The 23012-nt window shown below is 44.8% G+C and overlaps 1 long non-coding RNA gene across 1 annotated transcript in view, besides 1 other annotated feature; it reads right to left on the minus strand.

Moving 5' to 3' along the window:
• LOC105374945 (uncharacterized) overlaps positions 1–23012 on the minus strand; it is a 148669-nt gene that overhangs the window by 120542 nt on the left and 5115 nt on the right. The window contains exon 2 of the long non-coding RNA XR_007059473.1: positions 16459–16518. This is a non-coding gene — a long non-coding RNA (uncharacterized LOC105374945). The remainder of the gene's footprint in view (positions 1–16458; positions 16519–23012) is intronic.
• Positions 16095–16594: an enhancer, noted in NCBI's record as "H3K27ac hESC enhancer chr6:14997283-14997782 (GRCh37/hg19 assembly coordinates)". NCBI's record gives its function as "activates a minimal SCP1, AML or CMV promoter by ChIP-STARR-seq in naive H9 embryonic stem cells {active_cell/tissue: H9 hESC(naive)}" and the evidence as "EXISTENCE:reporter gene assay evidence [ECO:0000049][PMID:30033119]".

Genomic DNA, 23012 nt, shown 5'->3' on the forward strand with positions numbered 1-23012 from the left:
GCTGGGTAATCTCCAGAAAATGGAAATATCAATAGGAAAATAGACACTGGTACCTTAGAAAGGCACCATGGAGCCATGGCAGGTGCACAGGGAAGGTGAAGGAACACTTCTGCACTCAGGAGTAGCCAGAACCTTCATTGGGCATTTTGGATATTTATGCTGATACATTTGCCTGGTGGTCAAGGACTGGTTTAGAATGAATTGTGTCCCCCTCCCCAAACAGCAGCAGGTTGTCACAGGTGTAAAAAGGTGTAGTGCTCACTAAAGACTCATTACTAGAATGTAAGTAGTACGTCCCTGAACTGCGCTTTTTTTTTTTTTTTTTTTTTTAAGACAGAGTCTTGCTCTGTCACCCAGGCAGTGGTGCGATCTCGGCTCACTACAACCTCTGCTTCCTGGGTTCAAGAGATTCTCCTGCCTTAGTCTCCCGAGTAGCTGGGTTTACAGGCACGTGCCACCACACTTGGCTAATTTTTGTATTTTTAGTAGAGATGGGGTTTCTCCATGTTGGCCAGGCTGGTCTCGAACTCCTGACCTCAGGTGTTCTGCCCACCTCCACCTCTCAAAGTGTTGGGATAACAGGCATGCGCCACTGCGCCTGGGCCCTGAACTGAGCTTCTTTGGTGAGAGAGAGAGAGCAAGAATGAGTGAAAAGAGTGAATGGTGCTTTGTTTGGATAAATAGTTCTTCGTTTGTTTGTTTGTTGTTTGAGACGGAGTCTCGCTCAGTCGCCAGGCTGGAGTGCAGTGGCGCGATCTCGGCTCACTGCAACCTCTGCCTCCTGGGTTCAAGCGATTCTCCTGCCTCAGCCTCCTGAGTAGCTGGGACTACGGGCACGTGCAACCGCACCCAGCTAATTTTTGTATTTTTGGTAGAGACAGGGTTTCACCATGTTGGCCAGGATGGTCTCGATTTCTTGACCTCGTGATCCACCCACCTCGGCCTCCCAAAGTGCTGTTGGATAAATACTTCTTAAGTTTAGCCTGAAGCCTGAATACTTCTTAAATTACGTTTAGCCTCCTTACATAGTTAAGTTCAGCCTAACGCTTTCTCTATACAGTGAGCTGTTACCTACTGCTCCTATAAACAGACTAACCTACTCTAATAGCGAGTAACCGAGTCAGCCAATCGCAGCAACTGAGTCTCTGCCAATCACAGCAGCCGAGTGTTGGCCAATCACAGGCAGCCAGCTGTTCATACTGTGTTCACATAAGGCAAAGGCAGGGCTGTAACCAGCCAATCTGGCTGTTTCTGTACCTCGCATCTGTTTTCTGTAGAGCACTTCCCTTTTTCTGTCCATAAATTTTATCTGACCATGTGGCAGCCCAGAGTCTCTCTGAACCTATGCTGATTCTGGGAGCTGCCTGATTCACAAATCGTTCTTTGCTCAATTAAACACTTCAATTTATTTCTCTAGGGTTTTATTTTAATACTTTTCCACGGCTACCCCGCTTTTGCTACGTCCTTCTCTTTTGCTTTTCTGCACTTGCAATTTCAGTCACCTGAGTTTTCTCTAGAATCAAGATTTTTCAAGGCATCCAAGAATGACGACATTAAAATGAAGTAGGAAGACACAACAAAAGGAAAAATTGACCAAAAAATTTCCATATTTCCTGGCGACTCACACCTGTAATCGCACACTTTGGCAGGAGCCCAGGAGTTTGAGACCAGCCTGGGCAACAAAGTGAGACCCCATCTCTTTTTTTTGAGATGGAATTTCCCTCTTGTTGCCCAGGCTGGAGTGCAATGGTGCAATCTCGGCTCACCGCAACCTCCATCTCCCAGGTTCACGCGATTCTCCTTCCTCAGCCTCCCAAATAGCTGGTATTACAAGTGTATGCCACCACACCTGGCTACTTTTTTGTATTTAGTAGAGACGGGGTTTCACCATGTTAGTCAGGCTGGTCTGGAACTCCTGACCTCAGGTGATCCACCCGCCTCAGCCTCCCAAAATGCTGGGATTACAGGGGTGAGCCACCACGCCCGGCCGTGAGACCCTATCTCTTAAAAAACAAAACAAAACAAAACAAAAGCTGGTTATGGTGGTGCACACTTATGGAGGCTGCAGCAGGAGGATCCTATGAGCCTGGGAGATGGAGGCTGCCATGAGCTCTGATTGTGCCACTGCACTGCAGCCTGATTGAGAGAGCAAGACCTTGTCTCAAAAAAATGGAAAATTTTCACTGCTTCACAAAACTGAATAGCAGAAACTTAAAATGGTTTGGTGGTAGTAGCATGTGTATGTTACCTCTGAATTAAATGTTCCTGGCAAGTGACTTAATTGTGATATGAATATTACAATTTTTGTTAAGTAGAAACCAAAGTCCAGGCACAGTGGCTCACTTCTGTAATCCCAGCATTTTGGGAGGCTGAAGCAGGAGGATCACTTGAGCCCAGGAATTCGAGACCAGCCTGAGCAACACAGCAAGACCCTGTCTCTACAAAAAAAATGTTCAAAAATTAGCCAGGTGTGGTGGTGCGTGCCTGTAGTCTCAGTTACTCAGGAGGCTGAGGTGGGAGGATTGCATGAGCCTGGAAGTTCAAGGCTGCAATGAGCTGTGATCACACCACTGCCCTCCAGCCTGGGTGACAGAGTAAGACCCTGCCTCCAAAAAAAAAAAAAAAAAAAAAAAAAGCCAAATACCTGACACTTTCTGAGCAAGTGTCTGAGGAGTGGCTGCAGACCTGGAAGAAGGAAAAAGGAGGCGTGAGCATTTGGGGAACAGTGAGTAGATCGTTTCTGGTTTCAGAGTGACAAATTAGAGTGATTTCTTATAACCCAAGTTCTTTATAAAAGAGAACAGAAAAATCTGATCCAGCTGTTTTACCCAAATGGCTGGATCAGCATTTGAACTGGAGCCAAACTGACTCACAGTAACCTGAGACAGAGGCCCCCAGCCAGTTGGTGTAGCTCCCCTAGAATCATGTGGTGCTCCAAAATCCTAAAACTTTGAGGGCTTATACATAAATATTCCCACCCGTCAAAATTTGCCCAAAATAAAAAGAGTAGTCCTAGCAGACACTTAACTTCGGGAATCCTTTCCCAAAGACCCAAAAGTCCTTTGATTTCACCTGATGATCCCTGGACAGTGAGAAGGGAACTTAGCCCAGAACAGAGGTGTGAACATGAATAGAATTGCAACATCCTGACTAGGTCTGCATGGCTTTGGGCAAATCCCCAAGTAAACTCCCCAGTCTGCAAAATAAGTCAGTAAATAAATAAACAGTAGAAAAGAATAGGATGAAGCAGGAGGAAGAATGAATTAATGCCTGTTAAGCACCTTGGAAATGCAAAGCATTATTAATTGCAAAATAAAGTGCAGGATAACAAGTTCACTTTGGCTTCAGGGAGAAGGACTGTCAATTGCAGGAGCCATTAAAAGTCACAGGCTATAAAACAGGCAGTAATGTAGGCTTTGCCCTGCAGAATCATATAACCTTGCCTGAAATTAGCTGGTTATCCCAGTTCTGGACTGATCATATGAACACAGTTCATCCGTAGCCAGAAAAGCCCAGACAACTCCAAATAGAGATCTGCCTGACCTTCAGAGTTTGCCTACTCTCATTCCTGCAACAATCGTGGCCACTCCCTAGGCACCCACGTGGTCCCAAGTGCTCCTTGTGTGTGACATCATTCCAGTGGGACAATCCAGTAACAGAGGTTTCATTATCCCCATGAATCTAAAACGTAGACCAGTTAAGTAACTTGCCCAACATCAAACAACTAGTTAAGGGCAGAGGCAGAAACGGAAGGTCTGGTTCTGCTCAGCTGTCTTTCTGTGACAAGGAAAAGCCTTCATCGCTGACCCTCATTCCTGACTAATCCACTCTGGTCACCTCAAAACACCAATGCAGCATATGTTGTGTTATTTGAGCACTTGGCGTGAACTCCTGCCAAAAAAGCAGAAGAGTCGATGTTCTTTATTTCCATATTTCCTTCTGAGATTTTTGTTTGTTTGTTTCCTTGAATGTCTCTTGACTAGACTTTAGGGGAGGGGGTCTGGGGTGGACAGATAACTATTTTGTGCTCTAGAATGTCACCCTTGATTTCAAATCCTATGGGGAGTGTATTCGAAAAGGGAACAAAAAAATGTTCCTGAAGTCAGTTTGAAATGTTAGCAGGTTATGGATGAGTTCCTCCAATCAGGTAGATAGAAAGTAACATATCCCCAGCTAATTTGGAAACTAGAGATAAAATTCAGAACAGGTCAGAAGTGTCCTTCAGGCTGCCCCTGAGACTTCTGAGGGCTTCTTGCCTCTATATTCAAAGCATGCATAGATTCAAACTTTGGAGATTCTATCCTTGCACGGGACTGCGGTGGGGGCATCTTCAGGAGGGCGTGCCCCTTAGTGAGCTGGTGAGAGAGATCCCCTTTCCCCCTTGAAAGGGAGTGGGTGTGAGAAGTTCAGAGGAGGCATCTGCAGGAGCTGGAGTTGTATTAAAACATCAATGCCAAGTATTTTTAAAGAAACGGAGATGGCATCTGTGGGAGCTACTTGGAAAATACAGCCGTTTGTTGATTACCTGGAAAGGGGATAATGTAAAAGGATTAGGTGACCTAAAAAGCAGCTGGGCCAGACAAGGGCAGATGGCAGAGGAGTTCACGGCCCTTGGGGAGGACAATGAAAACCTAGACTAGAGGACAGACAAAACCAAAGGTTGGGGAGGTTGGTGCTGAGTGGCTTGGGAGAGGAACAGAAGAGCAAAATGAATCCCAACTGGCAGGGCTAAAATGTAACACCTGCTACGGTGACAAAAAAACAAAAACAAAAACAGAAGAAGAAGCAATTTTAGACCCCACAACAAATAGAGAAGTATATCTATAACAAGCAAAGGCACAACTATAGAAAGCCCCTCCCCATCCCTATTTGCCACCATCCGTATCAGCCGAGCTAATGATGGAAAGAGAAGCAACACTATCAGGCTAAGAATGCTCTGTGCCAGACCCTGCGCTGGGGGCTTTACATCTATCCTATGGTTGAAACTTCAGGCAGCCTTGCTACATAGGCTGTTAACAGCCTCTAACAGCCTCAAATCCGTATGGGTATGCAGCAACCTCAATTGCTTTTTGTTTTTGTTTTTGTTTTAGATGCAGTCTTGCTCTGTTGCCCAGGCTGGAGTGCAGTGGCGTGATCTTGGCTCACTGTAACTTCTGTCCCCCAGGTTAAAGGGATTCTCCTGTCTCAGCCTCCCGAGTAGCTGGATTACAGGCATGCGCCACCATGCCTGGCTAATTTTTGTGTTTTTAGTGGAGATGGTGTTTCACCGTGTTGGCCAGGTTGGTCGCGAACTCCTGACCTCAGGTGATCCGCCAGCCTCGGCCTCCCAAACTGCTGGGATTACAGGCGAGAGCCACCGCACCCAGCCAGCAACCTCAATTCTTGCCTCCTCAGAAGAAAGAATTAGACCGAGGGGCATAAGACAGAGGGAAAGACAGAGGCAAATTTTAGAGCAGGAGGGAAAAGTTTATCAAAAAGTTGTAGAGCAGGAACAAAAGGAAGTAAAGTACACTTGGAAAAGGGCCAATCAGGTGACTTGAGAGATTCAAGTGCATGGTTTACCCTTTGACTTGGGGTTTTATATGTTGGCATGCTTCCAGGGGCGGCATTACTTCTCCCCTGATGCTTCCCTTGGGGTGGGTTGTCCACGTGCACAGTGGCCTGCCAGCCCTTGAGAGGGCCACATGTACGGTGTGTTTATTGAAGTTGTGCGCATGTTGACTTGAGGTGTCTTTTGCTCACCAGTCGAGCGTTCCTGGAGGGAGGTCATATACCTTACCAGGGGAAGGACTGTCAACTGCAGAAATCGACTAGGTATGCTCAACTGGTAAGTTAAACTCTGCTATTTTGCCTTAGTACATATGCTTGAGCCCACTCACCCATCTCCTGAGATCTTATTGGGAAGCTGTTGATCACCAGTTTCAGGTGTTCTCTATCTATTGGGAGACTTCCTTTCCCTGGCACTGGCTGCAACCCATTATTATTTTATTTTATTTATTTATTTATTTATTTATTTTTTTGAGACAGAGTTTTGCTCATGTTGCCCAGGCTGAAGTGCAATGGCGTGACCTTGGCTTACTGCAACCTCCATCTCCCAGGTGATTTTCATACCTCACCCTCCCGAGTAGCTGGGATTACAAGCGTGCACCACCACGCCCAGCTAATTTTTGTATTTTTAGTAGAAATGGGGTTTCACCATGCTGGCCAGAATCTTGATCTCTTGACCTTATGATCTGCCCATGTTGGCCTCCCAAAGTGCTGGGATTATAGGCGTGAGCCACCACGCCCAGCCCCATTATTATCTTAGAGAGACAGTTTAACAACCGCCTGACCATCACCTGATGGTCTCCCAATGTTCCTGTTTGGGGGAGCCCTCTCCTGCCCTGCTCATGTCTGCCTAACTACCTACTGTAACATTCCTATATCAATTTTACAGATAAGCAAACTGATATTTGGAGGAGAAAAGTCTGAAATAGGAGCCAGTCAGTGAAGCACCAGCACAAGGAAGAAGTAGATGTGAAGGAGAGGAAAGGCATGTAAATGCCCAATCTCAGGGAAGGCGGAAGGTGCAGAAAGATCTAGACACAAGGGCATTGAAACAAAAGGAATGCTTGTCAGGGACTGCTTCCGTGCCTCAGCTGAGCAGCCCCTGGGCTCTGATACCCTACAGGGGATAGTTCTAAACCGCAGAAAGCTGTCATGAAATTAGCTCACCCTGAAATGATGCTTAATTGTTCTACAGAAACATCAGCGTGTCCCAACCAGGAGCAAGAGAGTTTATTGTCAGATGACTCAGTGGGGTAAAGAGGACTCCAAAGGAGCAGCACAGCAAGACAGGGGCCAAAGGGAAAAGGCCAAAAGAACAGACTAATGTGTGTATGTCTTTTTAAAAATTGGATAAAATGTCCAATTACTCTTGCCCAAATTATTCTTTGGAGGTTAGTAACAAGGAGGGAATCTAAGACCCGGCCCAAGATGTGAACCCTAGGGTAGCAGTGCTGATGAGTGCTGCATGGTACCGGGACTCTGTAGTGAGGGGCCACAACAATGCCCTGGCTGTTCAGCTTCTACTGTGAGTGCCAGTGTATGCAAATTTTATTGTCCAAAGCAAGTCAAGGGACCAAAGCTTGACAGTGGTGGGACAGGGGAAGTATAATCTTTCCCCCAGAGCGAGTAGTATAAATCATAAGAACAATTACAGACTCTCTCAAAAGGTAGACAGTGGGGGAGATTCAAATCATGATACGTAGTGTGTGTGTGTGTGTGTGGGGGGGTATATATATGTGTTTATGTGTATGTATGTGTGTATGTGTATCTGTGTATAGTCATGTGTGACTTAAAAACGGGAATACATTCTGAGAAATGTGTCACTAGACAATTTTGTCCTTGGGTGAACATCACAGTGTACTTACACAAACCTAGATGGCATAGCCTACTGAACACCTAGGCTGGATGGTGCAGCCTATTGCTCCCAGGCTACACACCTGCACAGCATATTACTGTACAGAATACTGTAGGCAACTGGAACACAGTGGTAAGTATTTGTGTATCTAAACATAGAAAGATAATGCATTACACTGGGACATTACCAGAGCTACCACATCATTAGGTAAGAGGAACTTTTCAGCTCCATTATAATCCTGTGGGACCACCATTGTATATGGGGTCTATAGTTGATCAAAACATTGTTACGCAGCACATGACTATGTATACATATAATTTTAATTATTTCTGTTTATTTTAAGTGTTTATTTTCAGCTGGGTCATTGAAGAGTTTCTAACAGACATCATGACACTTCACTCCCAAAAACATCGGCACTTCCAGGAACAAGGAGGTCCTCCTGCATAACCACAGCACAGGGACCATGTTGGGAAGCTTAGCACAAACTTAGCACTACTACACAGCCCATAATGAAGTTTCCCCAAGTGTCCCAAGAATGATCTTTAGAGCTGGCCCAGGGCCTTTTAGGTGAGAAGACAGTCCCAAAGCCCCACACATTTTTTCTTGCTGTTCTCTACATACTCAAATAAATGAATGTTCCCTTGTCAACAATTAACTGGATGAGAAAAAGCAAATTCACATGCCTTTAAAAACAGAAAAAAAGGCTGGGTGCGGTGGCTTACGCCTGTAATCCCAGCACTTTGGGAGGCCGAGGCAGGTGGATCACCTGAGGTCAGGAGTTCGAGACCAGCCTGGCCAACGTGATGAAACCCCATCTCTACTAAAAATACAAAAATTAGCTGGATGTGGTGGCAGGCGCCTGTATTCCCACCTACTCTGGAGACTAAGGCAGGAGAATCGCTTGAGCCTGGGAGGCGGAGGTTGCAGTGAGCTGAGATCGTGCCATTACACTCTAACCTGGGCAACAAGAGCAAGACTCTCTCAAAAAAAAAGGAAAAAAGAAAAAAGACACAAGAATTTTTAAAATGGTAATTTATAATTTATCAAGCTATACATACGGATACATCAATTTCTAACAGATATAGATCAACATATTCCCACTATCTAGGTAGATGTGTTCAGTTTTGCTAATTGAAACAAGCCCAGTTACTAAGACGTGGATGGGAAGTATCTTTACATTTTCTTTTGACTCTAAAATCTGTGGTCTGCGATTCTTCAAAAATATCAGCCTATTTAGAATGTGGACTCTTTTTATGTTGAGCTTATGAATCGTGTCTCAATCACTTATTCATCCCCACTAATTATTACTATAGCTGGCACATAGAAACTCAATGGACCCGGGCGCGGTGGCTCACACCTGTAATCCCAGCACTTTGGGATGCCAAGGTGGGTGGATCACCTGAGGTCAGGAGTTCAAGACCAGCCTGGCCAACACAGTGAAACCCCATCTCTACTAAAAATACAAAAATTAGCCAGGCGTGGTGGTGCGCACCTGTAATCCCAGCTACTTGGCAGGCTGAGGTAGGAGAATCACTTGAACCTGGGAGTAGAGGTTGCAGTGAGACAAGATCACACCACTGTACTCCAGCCTGGGCAACAGAGCAAGACTTGTCTCAAAAAAAAAAAAAGAAAGAAAAAAGAAACTCAATGAACTACTAGGTGAATGGATGAATGAACACTTTCTTGAGTCCTCAAGGCAGTCCTCCTTCCCTGCCCTATCTCTGCTAGTTTGCAGATATGACTTCTGTGTCTTGTCACGGTTTTGCTGCAATTTTATATATATATATATATATATATATATATATATATGCAGTTTAATAAATGCACAAAGAAAGATGACCACAACTTGGAAAATCAGTCCTAGCTTGGCAGAGGCATGATATTATTGGAATCACAACAAATCTTAATCACTGCAGGTCTTAACTGTTACTACACTATATCAAGAGGCAGGGAACCAAGAGTGAGTGGGATAATTTGCCCTGCACACCTCCATCCCTTCTTCAAAACAGAAACCTTGTGTTAGGCAGCTGGTGGTGAAAGCTATGGCAGCTATAAACCCTTCTTTAAAAAAAAAAATAGTCCACTTGGTTTCCTTTTGGGCTTAAGCGAAACCCTCACTCTGGGAGCCTGCCCAGTTAGGCAAGAGAAAAAATAAAACACCTTCTCTCAATGTGAGAAGAATGCCTTCTATTAGAAAGGCTCCTCAAACATCCTTGGGTCAGGTTCTGCCTTTGGTCAAAAGTGACTTTTTATTGATTAAGAGGAAGAAAGAGGCACAGGGGCTTTTTGTCAAAGGCACCTTTAGTCTTGTATCAGTTTATCCTTTGAAGAATCACACCATGTCATTACCTATAAATAAATCACAAATATATGGATCAAATATCTCAAAGCTACTGAAGGTATACCACACCTGAGTGTGGCTATGTATAAAAAAGAAAAAAAATTATTATTTGATCCAAACAAAAATACTCTGTTAATATGTCGTGAGCTGACAACTGAAATTCATTACAGACATATAGCCTTATATAGGGGTTTTAATTCATTATTTTAATTTCCTTTTTTTTTTTTTTTTTTTTTTGAGACAGTCTTACTCTGTTGCCCAGGTTTGGGTGCAGTGGCGTGATCTCGGCTCACTGCAACCTCCACCCCCTGGATTCAAGTGATTCTCGTGCCTCAGCCTCCCAAGTAGCTGGAATTATAGGTGTGCACCACCACACCTGGCTAATTTTTGTATTTTTAGTAGAGACGGGATTTCACCATGTTGGCCAGGCTGGTCTTGAACTCCTGGGCTCAAGTGCTGAGATTACAGGTATGAGCCACCACGCCCAGCCCGAAATTTCTTTCTAATTACACAAGTAACATCTAAGTGCATGAACACACACACATGCACAATTATTATTATTATTTTCTTTAAAAAAAAAGACAAGGCCTCTCTCTGTCGCCCAGGCTGGAGTGCAGCGGCATGATCCTCAGTTACTGCCGCCTCAAACTTCTGGGCTCAAGTGATCTTCCCACCTCAGTCTCCCAAAGTACTAAGATTACAGGCATGAGCCACGGCACCCAGCTCTGCAAAAATCTTTCAAACAACTTGGGATTGAAAGTCCTCTTGATTTTCCCACTCTAATCCCTCTGCCTTTCTAGATGCTTATCACAGGTATTGTGGGTTGTGCTAGCTCTTTCTCTTTTGCGTATGCATAAATAATGGAGAAACGAAATCTAGACCACACGTGCTATTCTGTCCCTCAGTTTATTCTCTTCATGTGTCTTAGAGATCTTTCTTCACTCAAGAAAATTGAAAGGTGACCTGGGCCAGTGGTTTGTAACTGGGCGGCCTAAAGCCCTAAGGATTCTGTAGAGAGGACCTTGAAGACTGCCCCAGGAGCAAAGAGGAGCTCCAGAGACCCCACAAAAGGAAAGAATTGATCCAGTTTAATTCCTTTGTCTTTGCCTTCTGCTAAGAGATAAAGATTCCTGAGAAGAGTTAGACGTGTATAGTTGGGTTTCACTGGCATTTGTTTTCTTGAGAGCAATTTTAGGGCAAGGGTGGAGAGTAACATGGAATTGCCTCAGTTTCTCCAATATGATCAGTCTAAAGAAAGCAAGAATTAGGAAAGGCCAGAGATAGAAACAGACTCTGCTCCATGAAGGACAATAATCCATGTATTCATCTCAGGTCTTATGTATGGCTATGTATAACATCTGTGCAACCAGGAAATCACTACCCATGTACATTTGAAATCTTCTCTGGTTTTCCTCTAAGTCCTGGATTCTAGATCTTTCTGTACTCCTTAAAAGGAGTTTTGGGCTTAGGAAGAGCAATATAGAAAGACCTAGAATTTCTCCCTGGAAATTGTCTTCCTAGACATTGTATTCATGTCCAGGAAGAATGGGACAAAATCTGACCAGACAGGCCTGCTCCAGTCTAAGGGAAACTTCCTTTTGCGGCCAGGTAAACTGACCATCTGGAAAATCTTTGAATCAAACAGAAGCATAAGAAAAAACATCTCTAAAACACCAATGTACTAGACAGCCCCAGAAGCAAAGCTTCCTCTCTAAGTGTCACAGTGCCTAGTTGTGTGCAAAGGCAAGTGGCTGGAGGGTGCTATCCGCAGTGGGAAACCCTAGCAAGTCACTGAGGTCTTCTAAAACTCCAAGTCTTCATCTATGTAACTGAGATAATAACTGCTGATCTCATAGGTCACTGTCAGGAGTAAATGAGTGACGATGTCTAACTTCTAGTGTAGTGCCTGACATGTACCATTACAGATTGAATTCTGTGCCCCTATATTAGCCCATTCTCATGTTGCTACAAAGAACTACCTGAGACTGGGTAATTTACCAAGAAAAGAGGTCAAGGGTATAGTGAACCACGATTGCATCACTGCACTCTAGCCTGGGTGACAGATTAAGACCCTGTCTCAAAAAAAAAAAAAAAAATTTATAAATTAACCAAGCATGATGGTACATATGTATAGTCCTAGCTACTTCAGAGGCTGAGGTGGAAGGACAGCTTGAAGCCAGGGGTTCAAGACCAGCCTGGGCAACATTAGCAAGCCTCCATCTCTAATAAATAAATAAATAAATAAATAAATAAATAAATAAATAAATAGAATCATCATATGATCCAGCAATTGAAGCAGGATCTTGAAGACATATTTGCACACGCATGTTCACAACAGCACTATTCACAATAGCCAAGAGGTGGAAGTAGCCCAAATGTCCATCCGTGGATGAACAGATAAAGCAGATGTGGTCTATACATACCATGGAATATTATTCAGCCTTAAAAAGAAGGAAATCCTGTCCTATGCTACAACATGGATGAATGTTGAGGACATTGTCCTAGGTGAAATAATCCAGAAGAAAAACACAAATACTGCATGACTCCACTTACATGAGGTCCCTGGAGTAGTCAAATTATGGAAACAGAAAGTAGGATGGTGGTCAGGGTAGCGGGAGAGGGAATGGAGAGTTGTTCAATGGATACAGAGTTCCAGTTTTGCAGGATAAAAAAGTTCTAGAGGCCTATTACACAACAATGTGAGCATAATTAGCACTAGTGAACTTAAAAATGGTGAAGAGGATAAATTTTTTTTTTTTTTTGAGACGGAGTTTCACTGTTGTAGCCCAGGCTAGAGTGCAATGGTGTGATCTTCGCTCTCCGCAACCTCTGCCTCTCAGGTTCAAGCAATTCTCCTGTCTCAGCCTCCCGAGTAGCTGGGACTATAGGCATGCACCACCACACCCAGCTAATTTTGTATTTTTAGTAGAGATGGGGTTTTCCGTGTTGGTCAGGCTGGTCTCCAACTCCCGACCTCATGTGATCCACCTGCCTCGGCCTCCTAAAGTGCTGGGATTACAGGTGTGAGCCACCGTGCCTGGCCGAAGAGGGTAAATTTTGTATTATGTGTTGTTTACAATTTCAAATACATGTGTAGATATATAAATGCACATATCTCATAAAATATACATATAAATGCATACATTTATGTTCTATTATTCCAGCATGATTCCTTTACAATATTATTGCATATAACAATGTAATAAACATTATGCCAGGCGTGCTGGCTCATGCCTGTAATCCCAGCACTTTGGGAGGGAGGCCAAGGTGGGCAGATCACTTGAGGTCAGGAATTCGAGACCAGCCTGGCCAACATGGTGAAACCCCTTCTCTACTAAAAATACAAAAATTATCTGGGCATTGTGGCACACGCCTGTAATCCCAGCTACTCAGGAGTCTGAAGCATGAGACTGGCTTGAACCCGGGAGGCAGAGGTTGTGGTGAGCCAAGATCGCACCACTGCACTCCAGCCTGGGTGACAGAGTGAGATTCGGTCTCAAAAAAAAAAAAAAAGAAAAATTATTAGAGGTTTGCTATTTAACTTTTTAAACTTAACCAAATCAGGATTTTAATAAATAATAACATTTAATGTCTATTGATATACATTCAAAATATATAAACTATTTTATTTATGTATTTATATTCATTTATACTGTCAACAGTCAATTCTTATCGTAAGTGATTAAAAAAATAACTTGTAAGAAACTGAACATTCTGATCCTGTTTTCATAACAATATTAGCTAATATTCATTGAAAGCTGACTCTGTTTCAGGTACTATTCACACGTATGTGTGTGTGTGCACACACGTGTGTGTATACATATATACAGTTTTTTGTTTTTTTTTTGAGACAGTGTCTTACTCTGTCACCCAGGCAGAAGTGCAGTTGTACAACGATGGTTCACTGTAGCTTCAACCTCCCCAGGCTCAAGTGATCCTCCCACGTCACCTTCCCAAGTAGCTGAGGCTATAGGAGGGCACCACCATGCTTGTCTAATTTTTGTGTTTTTAGTAGAAATGGGGTTCTGCCAAGTTGCCCAGGCTGCTCTCGAACTCCTGGGCTCAAGCGATCTGCCCACCACTGCCTCCTAAAGTGCTGGGATCACAGGAGTGAGCCACCGCACTCAGCCAAAAGGAGGTTCTGCAATGCCATTCCTGTCTGTGTGATTCTGTGAAAAGACTTCAAGAACTATGTTCCTGCACACACCTCCATAAAAGTAGCCATCTATATACATGTGTACATACATGTATAAGTACAAGGTGACATACATAAGGACAGAAGAAGTGGGGTCAGCAATTGCATGTTTAAAGGAGCTGAGAAGTAGAGCAGAGAGAGCCTGGATTTTAGAGCCAGATTTCTGTTCACTCTTTGCTAGCGAAGGGGAGACTGAGCAGAGTGTTAATAGACACACACACACACGCACACACCCTCTAAACAAAGCGGACCCTTCCTGAGAACAGGATAATGATAATGACGACACCCGATGATGATGATGCGCAAATCCACCACCAGTGCTGGATTCTCCCGTCTGTTCTGAATGTCTTGCCCACAGAAGTGTATACATTTTTCTAACTACCTTCCAAGATCTTTACCCAAGAGAACCTGACAGCTTTGTCCACCTCTGTCCCTGCAAGGAGCTCAATCAAGCAGCTCTCTATCTCTCCCTGTCATGTTTTCTTGCCTCACTCCTACCCCAGCCGAGGGCTTAGTGCAGACTACTAGGAAAACCATCTCAGAGAAATCAGCGGAGAGCCTGTTTACCAAGCAACACTGCACAGCCCAGGCAAGGACTCCTTTGAGAAATGGGAAACCATCAGGACGGTGGATAGAATGAACCCGATTTCCCATTATTTTTTTCAAATAAATGGAGTCCAGTTTGCTTCCACTATAATCCAGGCATAACATTTATATGAGAACATAAAATACTACACAGCTGTAAGTAAAACAATATGTGTGTTCCTGAATAATAGTGATACCACTTGCCAGTAAGACTATATTTTGATCAAATAAAAGATGACCTAAATTTGACTCAGTGGGATGGGATTTACTACACGATCGCTTCTTGAAAATTAAGGGATAGAGAGAGGGGGCTTTCATGAGGGTAGAAGGAAATGGACAAGGAGAACAAGAGAAAAACAGGATGGAAAGTTAGATGCCCCTCGCTGAGTTTGAAAGCGCACTTTGTAAGAAGAATAAAGAGCATTTGACTTCACACGTCTAGTGCGTCCCTCCCAAATAAAACCTTATTTTATATCAGACACCCACACTGCAGAGTCCCACATATGCTGACATCCAAGTCTCCAGTCTACAGTGATTTTTATGCATTCCTTCACTCCCTCTTTCATTCATATGTATGATGGTTGCACAAATATGTATTGTGGACTTAATATGTAACAGGCTCTCTGGTAGGATGGGAAACAGATCCTGCCCTGAGCCAGTTTACAACCCTGTGGGGAGGGCACCAAGGGAACAGGCTATTTCAGTCTAGTGTGATAAGGGCCATGACGGGAGAAACCTCAATACAGTGTGCTCAGAACCTGCAGAGGCAGCGCAAGGGGTCCCGAGGCCACACATGAGAGGATGCTACATGACCAGAGGAACCAAACTTGGTAACGCTGGAGGTGGATTCAGAAGAAAGAGAAAATCCCAGCACTTTGGGAGGCCAAGGCAGGAGGATTGCTTATGGCCAGGAGTTCAAGACCAGACTGGGCAACATAGTGAGACCCTATCTCTAAGAAAAGAAAAGAAACGAAACAAAACGAAAAGAGGACTGGCCAGCTGCGGTGTTTCATGCCTGTAATTCCAACACTTTGGGAGGCCGAGGCGGCAGATCACCTGAGGTAAGGAGTTCGAGACCAGCCTGGCCAACGTGGTGAAACCATGTCGCTATTAAAAATACAAAAATTATCTGGGTATGGAGGTACATGTCTGTAATCCCAGCTACTCAGGAGGCTGAGGCAGAAGAATCGCTTGAACCCAGGAGGCAGAGGTTGCAGTGAGCCAAGATCGTGCCACTGCACTCCAGCCTGGGCAACAGAGTGAGACTCCATCTCAAAATAAATAAATATTTTAAAATTTAAATAAATAATTAGCTTGGCATGGTGGCATGCAGCTGTAGTTCCAGCCACTCTGGAGGCTGAGATGGAAAGATGGCTTGAGCCCAGGAGGCAGAGGTTGCAGTGAACTGAGATTGCACCACTGCACCCTAGCCTGGGCAACAGAGTGAGACAAAAACCAAAAGGAAAAGAAAAAGGAAAAGTAGAGCACTGCCACAGGCAATTCCAGCCAAGGAAGGGGGAACACAGAAGGAAGAACACAGCGTTTCCCTTTAACAGCTCTGGCCAGTTGTTGCACACCTCACTACTCCCCACAGGCTATTGGCTACAACTTAGTCACATGACCACACCTGGCTTCCACAAAGCTGGAAATACAGTTCTTATTCAGGGCAGCCACGAGCACAGATAAACACTTGTATGACATGGAAGCAAGGGAAATGTACATTGGGAGGAAACCAGCCCTCTGTGCCACAGCGTCCGAGCCCTCCTCTTCCTCTTGTCCTGTCTGAGATAGACAGAGGCTTTAAAGGGTTTTCCAGGAAACCCCTGGAGAACATGATACACATTCATATGCATGCACACACAAACCCAAATGCAATACAATAATTAACCATAAGTTTTTCATTAAAAAAAAAAAAGGTAAAGAATGAAAACTTACAGCAGAAGACTCAAGGCTGTAGCAAAGAGGCTGGAGCAGGCTCTCTCTGCGGGCACAGATCTAAAGGGGGATGCAGAGGGGCATTAGCTAGGAATAATGTGAAGGTAGATGGAGCCCCCATCACCTTCCCCTCTCCTGAGTTCTCCCCCACTGCGTCATTTGCCCCTTATCACCAACTCTTCCACTGGATCCAAACATGCTCAAAGGCATTGCTCTGCTAACAAAAACAGCATAAGCACACCATTAGGATGTACAAGCATTTCTGGAAGTGTCAAAGGAACCAAACTCCTCCCAGCTCAATGATTGATTAGCTAAATAAACTTGAGCTAGATGTATATTTTCTTTGTGCATCAATTTCCTCCAAATCCAATAGAGACTAAAAAATACTTGCTTTACCTTCTTCATAGGCTTGTGGAGGGAACCAGGGAAATGGGATATCTATGTGTTTGTTTTCTATTTCTGTGTAACAAATCACCACACACTCTGTGGCTTAAAACAATAGCTATTTATGGTCGGGTGCAGTGGCTCATGCCTGTAATCCCAGCACTTTGGGAGGCCGAGGCGAGCAGATCACGAGGCCAGGAGATCGAGACCATCCTGGCTAACACGGTGAAACCCCGTCTCTACTAAAAATACAAAAAAATTAGCCGGGCATGTTGGCGGGCAACTGTAGTACCAGCTACTCCGGAGGCTGAGGCAGGAGAATGGCGTGAATCCGGGAGGCAGAGCTTGCAGTGAGCCAAGATAGTGCCACTGCATTCCAGCCTGGGCGACAGAGCGAGACTCCGTCTCAAAAAAAAAAAAAAAAACCAATAGGTATTTATTTATTTATTTATTTTTATTTATTTGTTTGAGACAGGGTCTCGCTCTGTCGCCCAGACTAAAAGTGCAGTGGCACGATCTTGGCTCACTACAACCTCCGCCTCCTGGGCTCAAGCAATCCTCCGACCTCAGCATCCCAAGTAGCTGAGACTACAGGTATGTGCCACCACGCCAGGCTAATTTTTTTTTTTTTTTTTTTTTTTTTTTTTTTTTTTTTTTTGAGACAGAATCTCACTGTGTCGCCCAGGCTGGAGTGCAGTGGCACGATCTCGGCTCGCTGCAATCTCCACCACCCGGGTTCACGCCATTCTCCTGCCTCAGCCTCCCGAGTAGCTGGGACTACAGGTGCCCACCACCATGCCCGGCTAATTTTTTTTTTGTATTTTTAGTACAGACGGGTTTTCACCATGTTATCCAGGATGGTCTCAATCTCCTGACCTTGTGATCCGCCAGCCTCAGCCTCCCAAAGTGCTGGGATTACAGGCGTGAGCCACTGCGCCCGGCCCACGCCAGGCTAAGTTTTGCAGAGACAGGGTTTCGCCATGTTGCCCAGGCTTGTCTCGAACTCCTGAGCTCAAGTGATCTGCCCGCCTTGGCCTCCCAAAGTGCTGGGATTATAGGTGTGAGCCACCGCGCCTGGCTGAAACGATACCCATTTATGATCTTATTGTTTCCATAGGTCAGAAATCCGGGCACAGAGTAACTAGATTCTGTGTTCAGGGTCTCACTGGCTGAAGCCACGGTGTCAGCTGGGGCTGCCTTCTCAGCTGGGGCTGGGATACTCTTCCAAGCTGAGGTTGGCAGAATTCATTTCCTTGTGAGTGTAGGACTGAGGGCCCCTTTTTCCCTCGAGGGTTGGCAGGAATGGCTGTCAGCTCCTCGTGGCTGTCTGCAGTTCCTAGCCATGGGGATGCTGCAAGGTAGCTCCTCATTCTGTCTTCTTTTCCTGTTTAAGTTGATTATGTTCCAAGCAACGCTCCTTCAGAGGAATCTGATTAAACTGGCTGAGGGTCAGACATGGTAGCACACACCTGGAATCCCAGCACTTTGGGAGGCCAAGGCGGGAGGATCACTTGAGCCCAGGAGTTTGAGACCTGCCTGGGCAACATACCTGAATGCTTTTCCTTCCTCTGGTACATTCCATACCAAAAAGATGAGATGGCCTCATGACAGGAGTAAGGACTTTGGAGTCGGGTAAATGCGGATTCAGATTTTCTCTCCAACACTTCCTAACTGAATGCTACTCAGCCTCTCTAACTCATGACTTCCTCCTCTGTACATTTGGGATAATACCAACCACACAGGGATGTTGGGGGATGAAATGACATAGGATTCATGGGAACTCAATGGTACCATATTCATAGCATACGGCAGGTGTGGGCTCCAGGCCCTTCCCGCTTCCCCATCTCCTATTCCACATCATTATCTCCTTTTCTTTCTCCCTCCCTCCCTATCTTTCTTCCTTCCTTCCTCCATTTCAAAGAACAGCTAAAACTGGTGATGCAGAAATGACTACAGTAAAGCTGACCCTAAAACAACACAGAGGTTAGGGGCACTGTCCCCACACACATTCAAAAATCCATGTCTGACTTTGTTTTGGAGAGCTTTTTTTCTTTAAGATAGGATCTGGCTCTATTGCCCAGGCTGGAGTGCAGTGGCATGATCTTGGCTCACTGCAGCCTATGCCTCCCGGGCTCAAGCCATCCTCCCACCTCAGCCTCCTGAGTAGCTGAGACTACATGCGCATGCCACAAGGCCCCGCTAATTTTTGTATGTTTTTGTAGAGATGGAGTTTAACCATGTTCTCCAGGCTGGTCTCGAACTCCTGAGCTCAAGTAATCTGCCCACCTCAACTTCCCAGTGCGCTGGGATTCTAGGTGTAAGCCATGACACCCAGCCCCATGCATAACATTTTTTTTTTTTTTTTGGACGGAGTCTCACTCTTGTCCTCCAGGCTGGAGTGCAGTGTCGAGATCTCATCTCACTGCAACCTCCGCCTCCCGAGTTCAAGTGATTCTCCTGCCTCAGCCTCCCAAGTAGCTGGGATTACATGCCCCCGCCACTGTGTCTGGCTAATTTTTGTATTTTTAGTACAGATGGGGTTTCACCATAATGGCCAGGCTGGTCTCAAACTCCTGACCTCGTGATCCATCCATCTCAGCCTCCCAAAGTGCTGGGATTACAGGCGTGAGCCACTGCACCCAGCCCATGCATAACTTTTGACTCCCCAAAAACTTAACTACTAATAGCCTACTGTTGACTGGAAGCCTTACCTACCAATAACATAAACAGTCGATTAACATATATTTTTGAATGTTGTATGCATTATACACTGTATTCGTACAATAAAGTAAGTTACAGAAAAGAAAATGTTATTAAGAAAATCATGAGGAAGAGAAAATATATTTGCTATTGATTAAGCGGAAGTGGATCATCATAAACGTCTTCATCCTCCTCATCTTCATGTTGAGTAGGCAGAGGAGGAAGAGAAGAGGAAGGGGTGGTCTTTTTGTTTTTGTTTCTGTTTTTTTTCTTTGAGATGGAGTCTTGCTCTGTTGCCCAGGCTGGAGTGCAGTGGCACAATCTCGGCTCACTGCAAGCTCCACCTCCCAGGTTCATGCCATTCTCCTGCCTCAGCCTCCTGAGTAGCTGGGACTACAGGCACCCACCACCAGGCCCGGCTAATTTTTTTTGTATTTTTAGTAGAGACGGGGTTTCACCGTGTTAGCCAGGATGGTCCCGATCTCCTGACCTGGTGATCGTCCCGCCTCAGCCTCCCAAAGTGCTGGGATTACAGGCGTGAGCCCTCCCCGCCCGGCCCGGAAGGGTTGGTCTTGATGTCTCAGGGCGACAGAGGCAGAAGAGATAGAGGAGGTGGGAGGGGAGGCAGGAGAGGCAGGGTAACTTTTATTAAAAACAAATCCATGTATAAGTGGACATGCGCAGTTCAAACCTGTGTTGTTCAAGGTTCAACTGTGTATCACATTGGAAGATAACTACCTTGTAATTGCATCCAAACCCATTCCACTTGAATGCCAACATTACAAGAACTCTGGTAAATGGAGTTTTGATACCAACCAATCATTTCCACATGGAACTATTAGCATGATAATCCTGTTCTCTCATTGTCCTGATAACGTTTTTTATACTTTTCTTGAAAAATGTACTTGGACTGCGTTCTCACATAGTTACTACACTCTAACAGATTTATGCTCCTTAGAAGAATGGGTCTAGTCAGGGAAGTGTTCCAAATCTGCCTCTTACAGAGATGCTCAGGGTAAAAGAAAGATTAGTGGTCAAAAGTAATGTAACTAAAACGTGGAGGCTGCCCCGGGGGAAATGTTAAGGACTGCCTGGCACAAGCAAGCACCTTCTGGCAAACTTCTCAAAGTGCTGAAATAGAAAGCTCAAGAGTCACCTGCTTAAGTAATGGTCTCCAAGGCAAAATATCGGGAGTCCTGTTCAGCCACCACAATGAGCTATTATATGTATGTGGCACAGATGTAACATGAGAATTATACCAGTCACAAGGTTGCTTTTTTTTTTAAATGCATAAAGCATGATTCTAACTTGGTGTTGTTTTTTGCAAACATGATGTTGATCACATGAGAAGGGTTTCAGAAGCAAGACTTGTTTATTTAACATTTTTAGGCTCAAGAAATCACCAATACATTGATGCAAACACCAGCTCTGGAGAAGAGAATTGTCAATAGGGGCCTCCGGCCCTCCTCTCCAATGCTGAGATGCCTTCTTCATCATGGTGCTAAGGAGGGTCCCAGGGAAAGTATAACATATCCACTGAATTCTAACAGTCAACGGAGAGTCCAGCAGCTCAGGCAGATCATGCCAAAGTCAAGCCCCCTTCAGTAAAAAGGCCCATCTATAAATCGTTAGAGACTGTGGGTGCCAAGAAAGCTACCGGATTAGTTCAGCATAATAGGCAGAAAGCTTGCATTTGCCAAATGCTTTACAACCATTTTTTATGAAGTATTATGCATAATACCCTGGGAGATAAATGAACAATATAATCACCATTTTATAACTAAGGAAGCAGACACCCAATGAAGGTGCTCTGGAAGTTAGTAGCAAACTAATGCTAGAAACCCTTGACCAAACTCCCTGGGTCAACATTTTTTTTCTTTTTTTTTTGTTCTGTCACCCAGGCTGGAGGGCAGTGGTGCTATCATAGCTCACTGCAGCCTTAACCTCCGAGGCTCAAGCAATCCTCCCACCTCAGCCTCTCAAATAGCTGGGACCACAGGCATGCACCACCATGCACCACCATGCCCCACTACTTTTTAAATTTTTTGTAGAAACAAGGTCTCACTATGTTGCCCAGGATGGTCTTGAAACCCTGGGCTCAGGCAATTCTCCTGCCTCTGTCTCCCGAAGTGTTGGGATTACAGGCGTGTGTCACCGTGCCTGGCAACATTCTTTCTAGTAAACTACTTTGCCTCATACAAGCATGTCCTTACACTGACTTAAAACAAGGGTATACATTTAAAATCTAGGTACAGTGGTGTGTACCTGTTGTCTCAGTAACTCAGGATACTGAGGCAGGAGGATTGCCTGAATTTAGGAGTTTAAGTCCAGCCTGGGCAACAGAGCAAGACCCCATCTCTAAAAAATAATTTATTATTTTTTATGTGTGTGGCAGAGTTTCGCTCTTGTTGCCCAGGCTGGAGTGCAATGGTGCGATCTCAGCTCACTGCAACCTCCGCCTCCCGGATTCAACTGATTCTCCTGCTTCAGCCTCCTGAGTAGCTGGGATTACAGGCATGTGCCACCAGGCCCGGCTAATTTTTGTATTTTTAGTAGAGAGGGGTTTCACCATGTTGGCCAGTCTGGTCTCGAACTCCTGACCTCAGGTGATCTGCCCGCCTCAGCCTCCCAAAGTGCTGGGATTACAGGCGTGAGCCACTGCACACGGCTAAATTTTTTTTTTAATTTTAAAAATATCAAAGTTTAAAATCTGAGCCTGAGCGAAATCCATCTTTGTGAATTGCACCTTAGGCCTTAAGAGGAGAAAGTCTACTTCCTGCTACGATACAGAACTAATTGATTGATACCAAGTGTATTAGTTAGGGTACAGTCACAGTTGCACTAATTGATTGATACCAAGTGTATTAGTTAGGGTACAGTCACAGTTGCTGTAATAAGGGGACCCCGAAACACAGGGACTTAAACACTTAAATACTCTCTCATATAATAGTCCAGAGGTGCACTGTCCAAAGCTGGCGGGGTAGCTCTACCATCCTTAATGTGTGGCTCACAGAAGTTGTATCCACCCACCTTCACTCACATCCCATTGGTCAGAACAGTCACTTGGCCACAAACAAGACCAAAAATGTAGTCTGGTTGTATAGCCAAATACCCGGCAAAAATTTAGGAGTTGTATAAGGAAAGGAAGAGTGGATATTGACCGACAAAGAGTGGTCATTGTCTCACAACATGTAAGAGGCAAAGATTTCCAATCCTCAGATTCGGTGTTCACCTTCCCTGCTCCAATGGGGAAAACTTGACAGAGCAATGTCAACCCTGAGAGAATGGGAGGGAATTGGGTGTCAAACAGGCATGATATTAGGACCCAGGTGGGCTGCATGCTGATACCTGCTCTGCCATATGTTAGCTGTGAGATCTCAGGCAAGACATTGAAATTCAGCATCTCAGTTTCCTCATCTGTAAAATAAACAACTTGATAGATGAGATTACCTCTACATCTTACATGTAAT

Source organism: Homo sapiens, chromosome 6, assembly GCF_000001405.40.
Source record: "Homo sapiens chromosome 6, GRCh38.p14 Primary Assembly".
NCBI classification, from domain to species: Eukaryota; Metazoa; Chordata; class Mammalia; order Primates; family Hominidae; genus Homo; species Homo sapiens.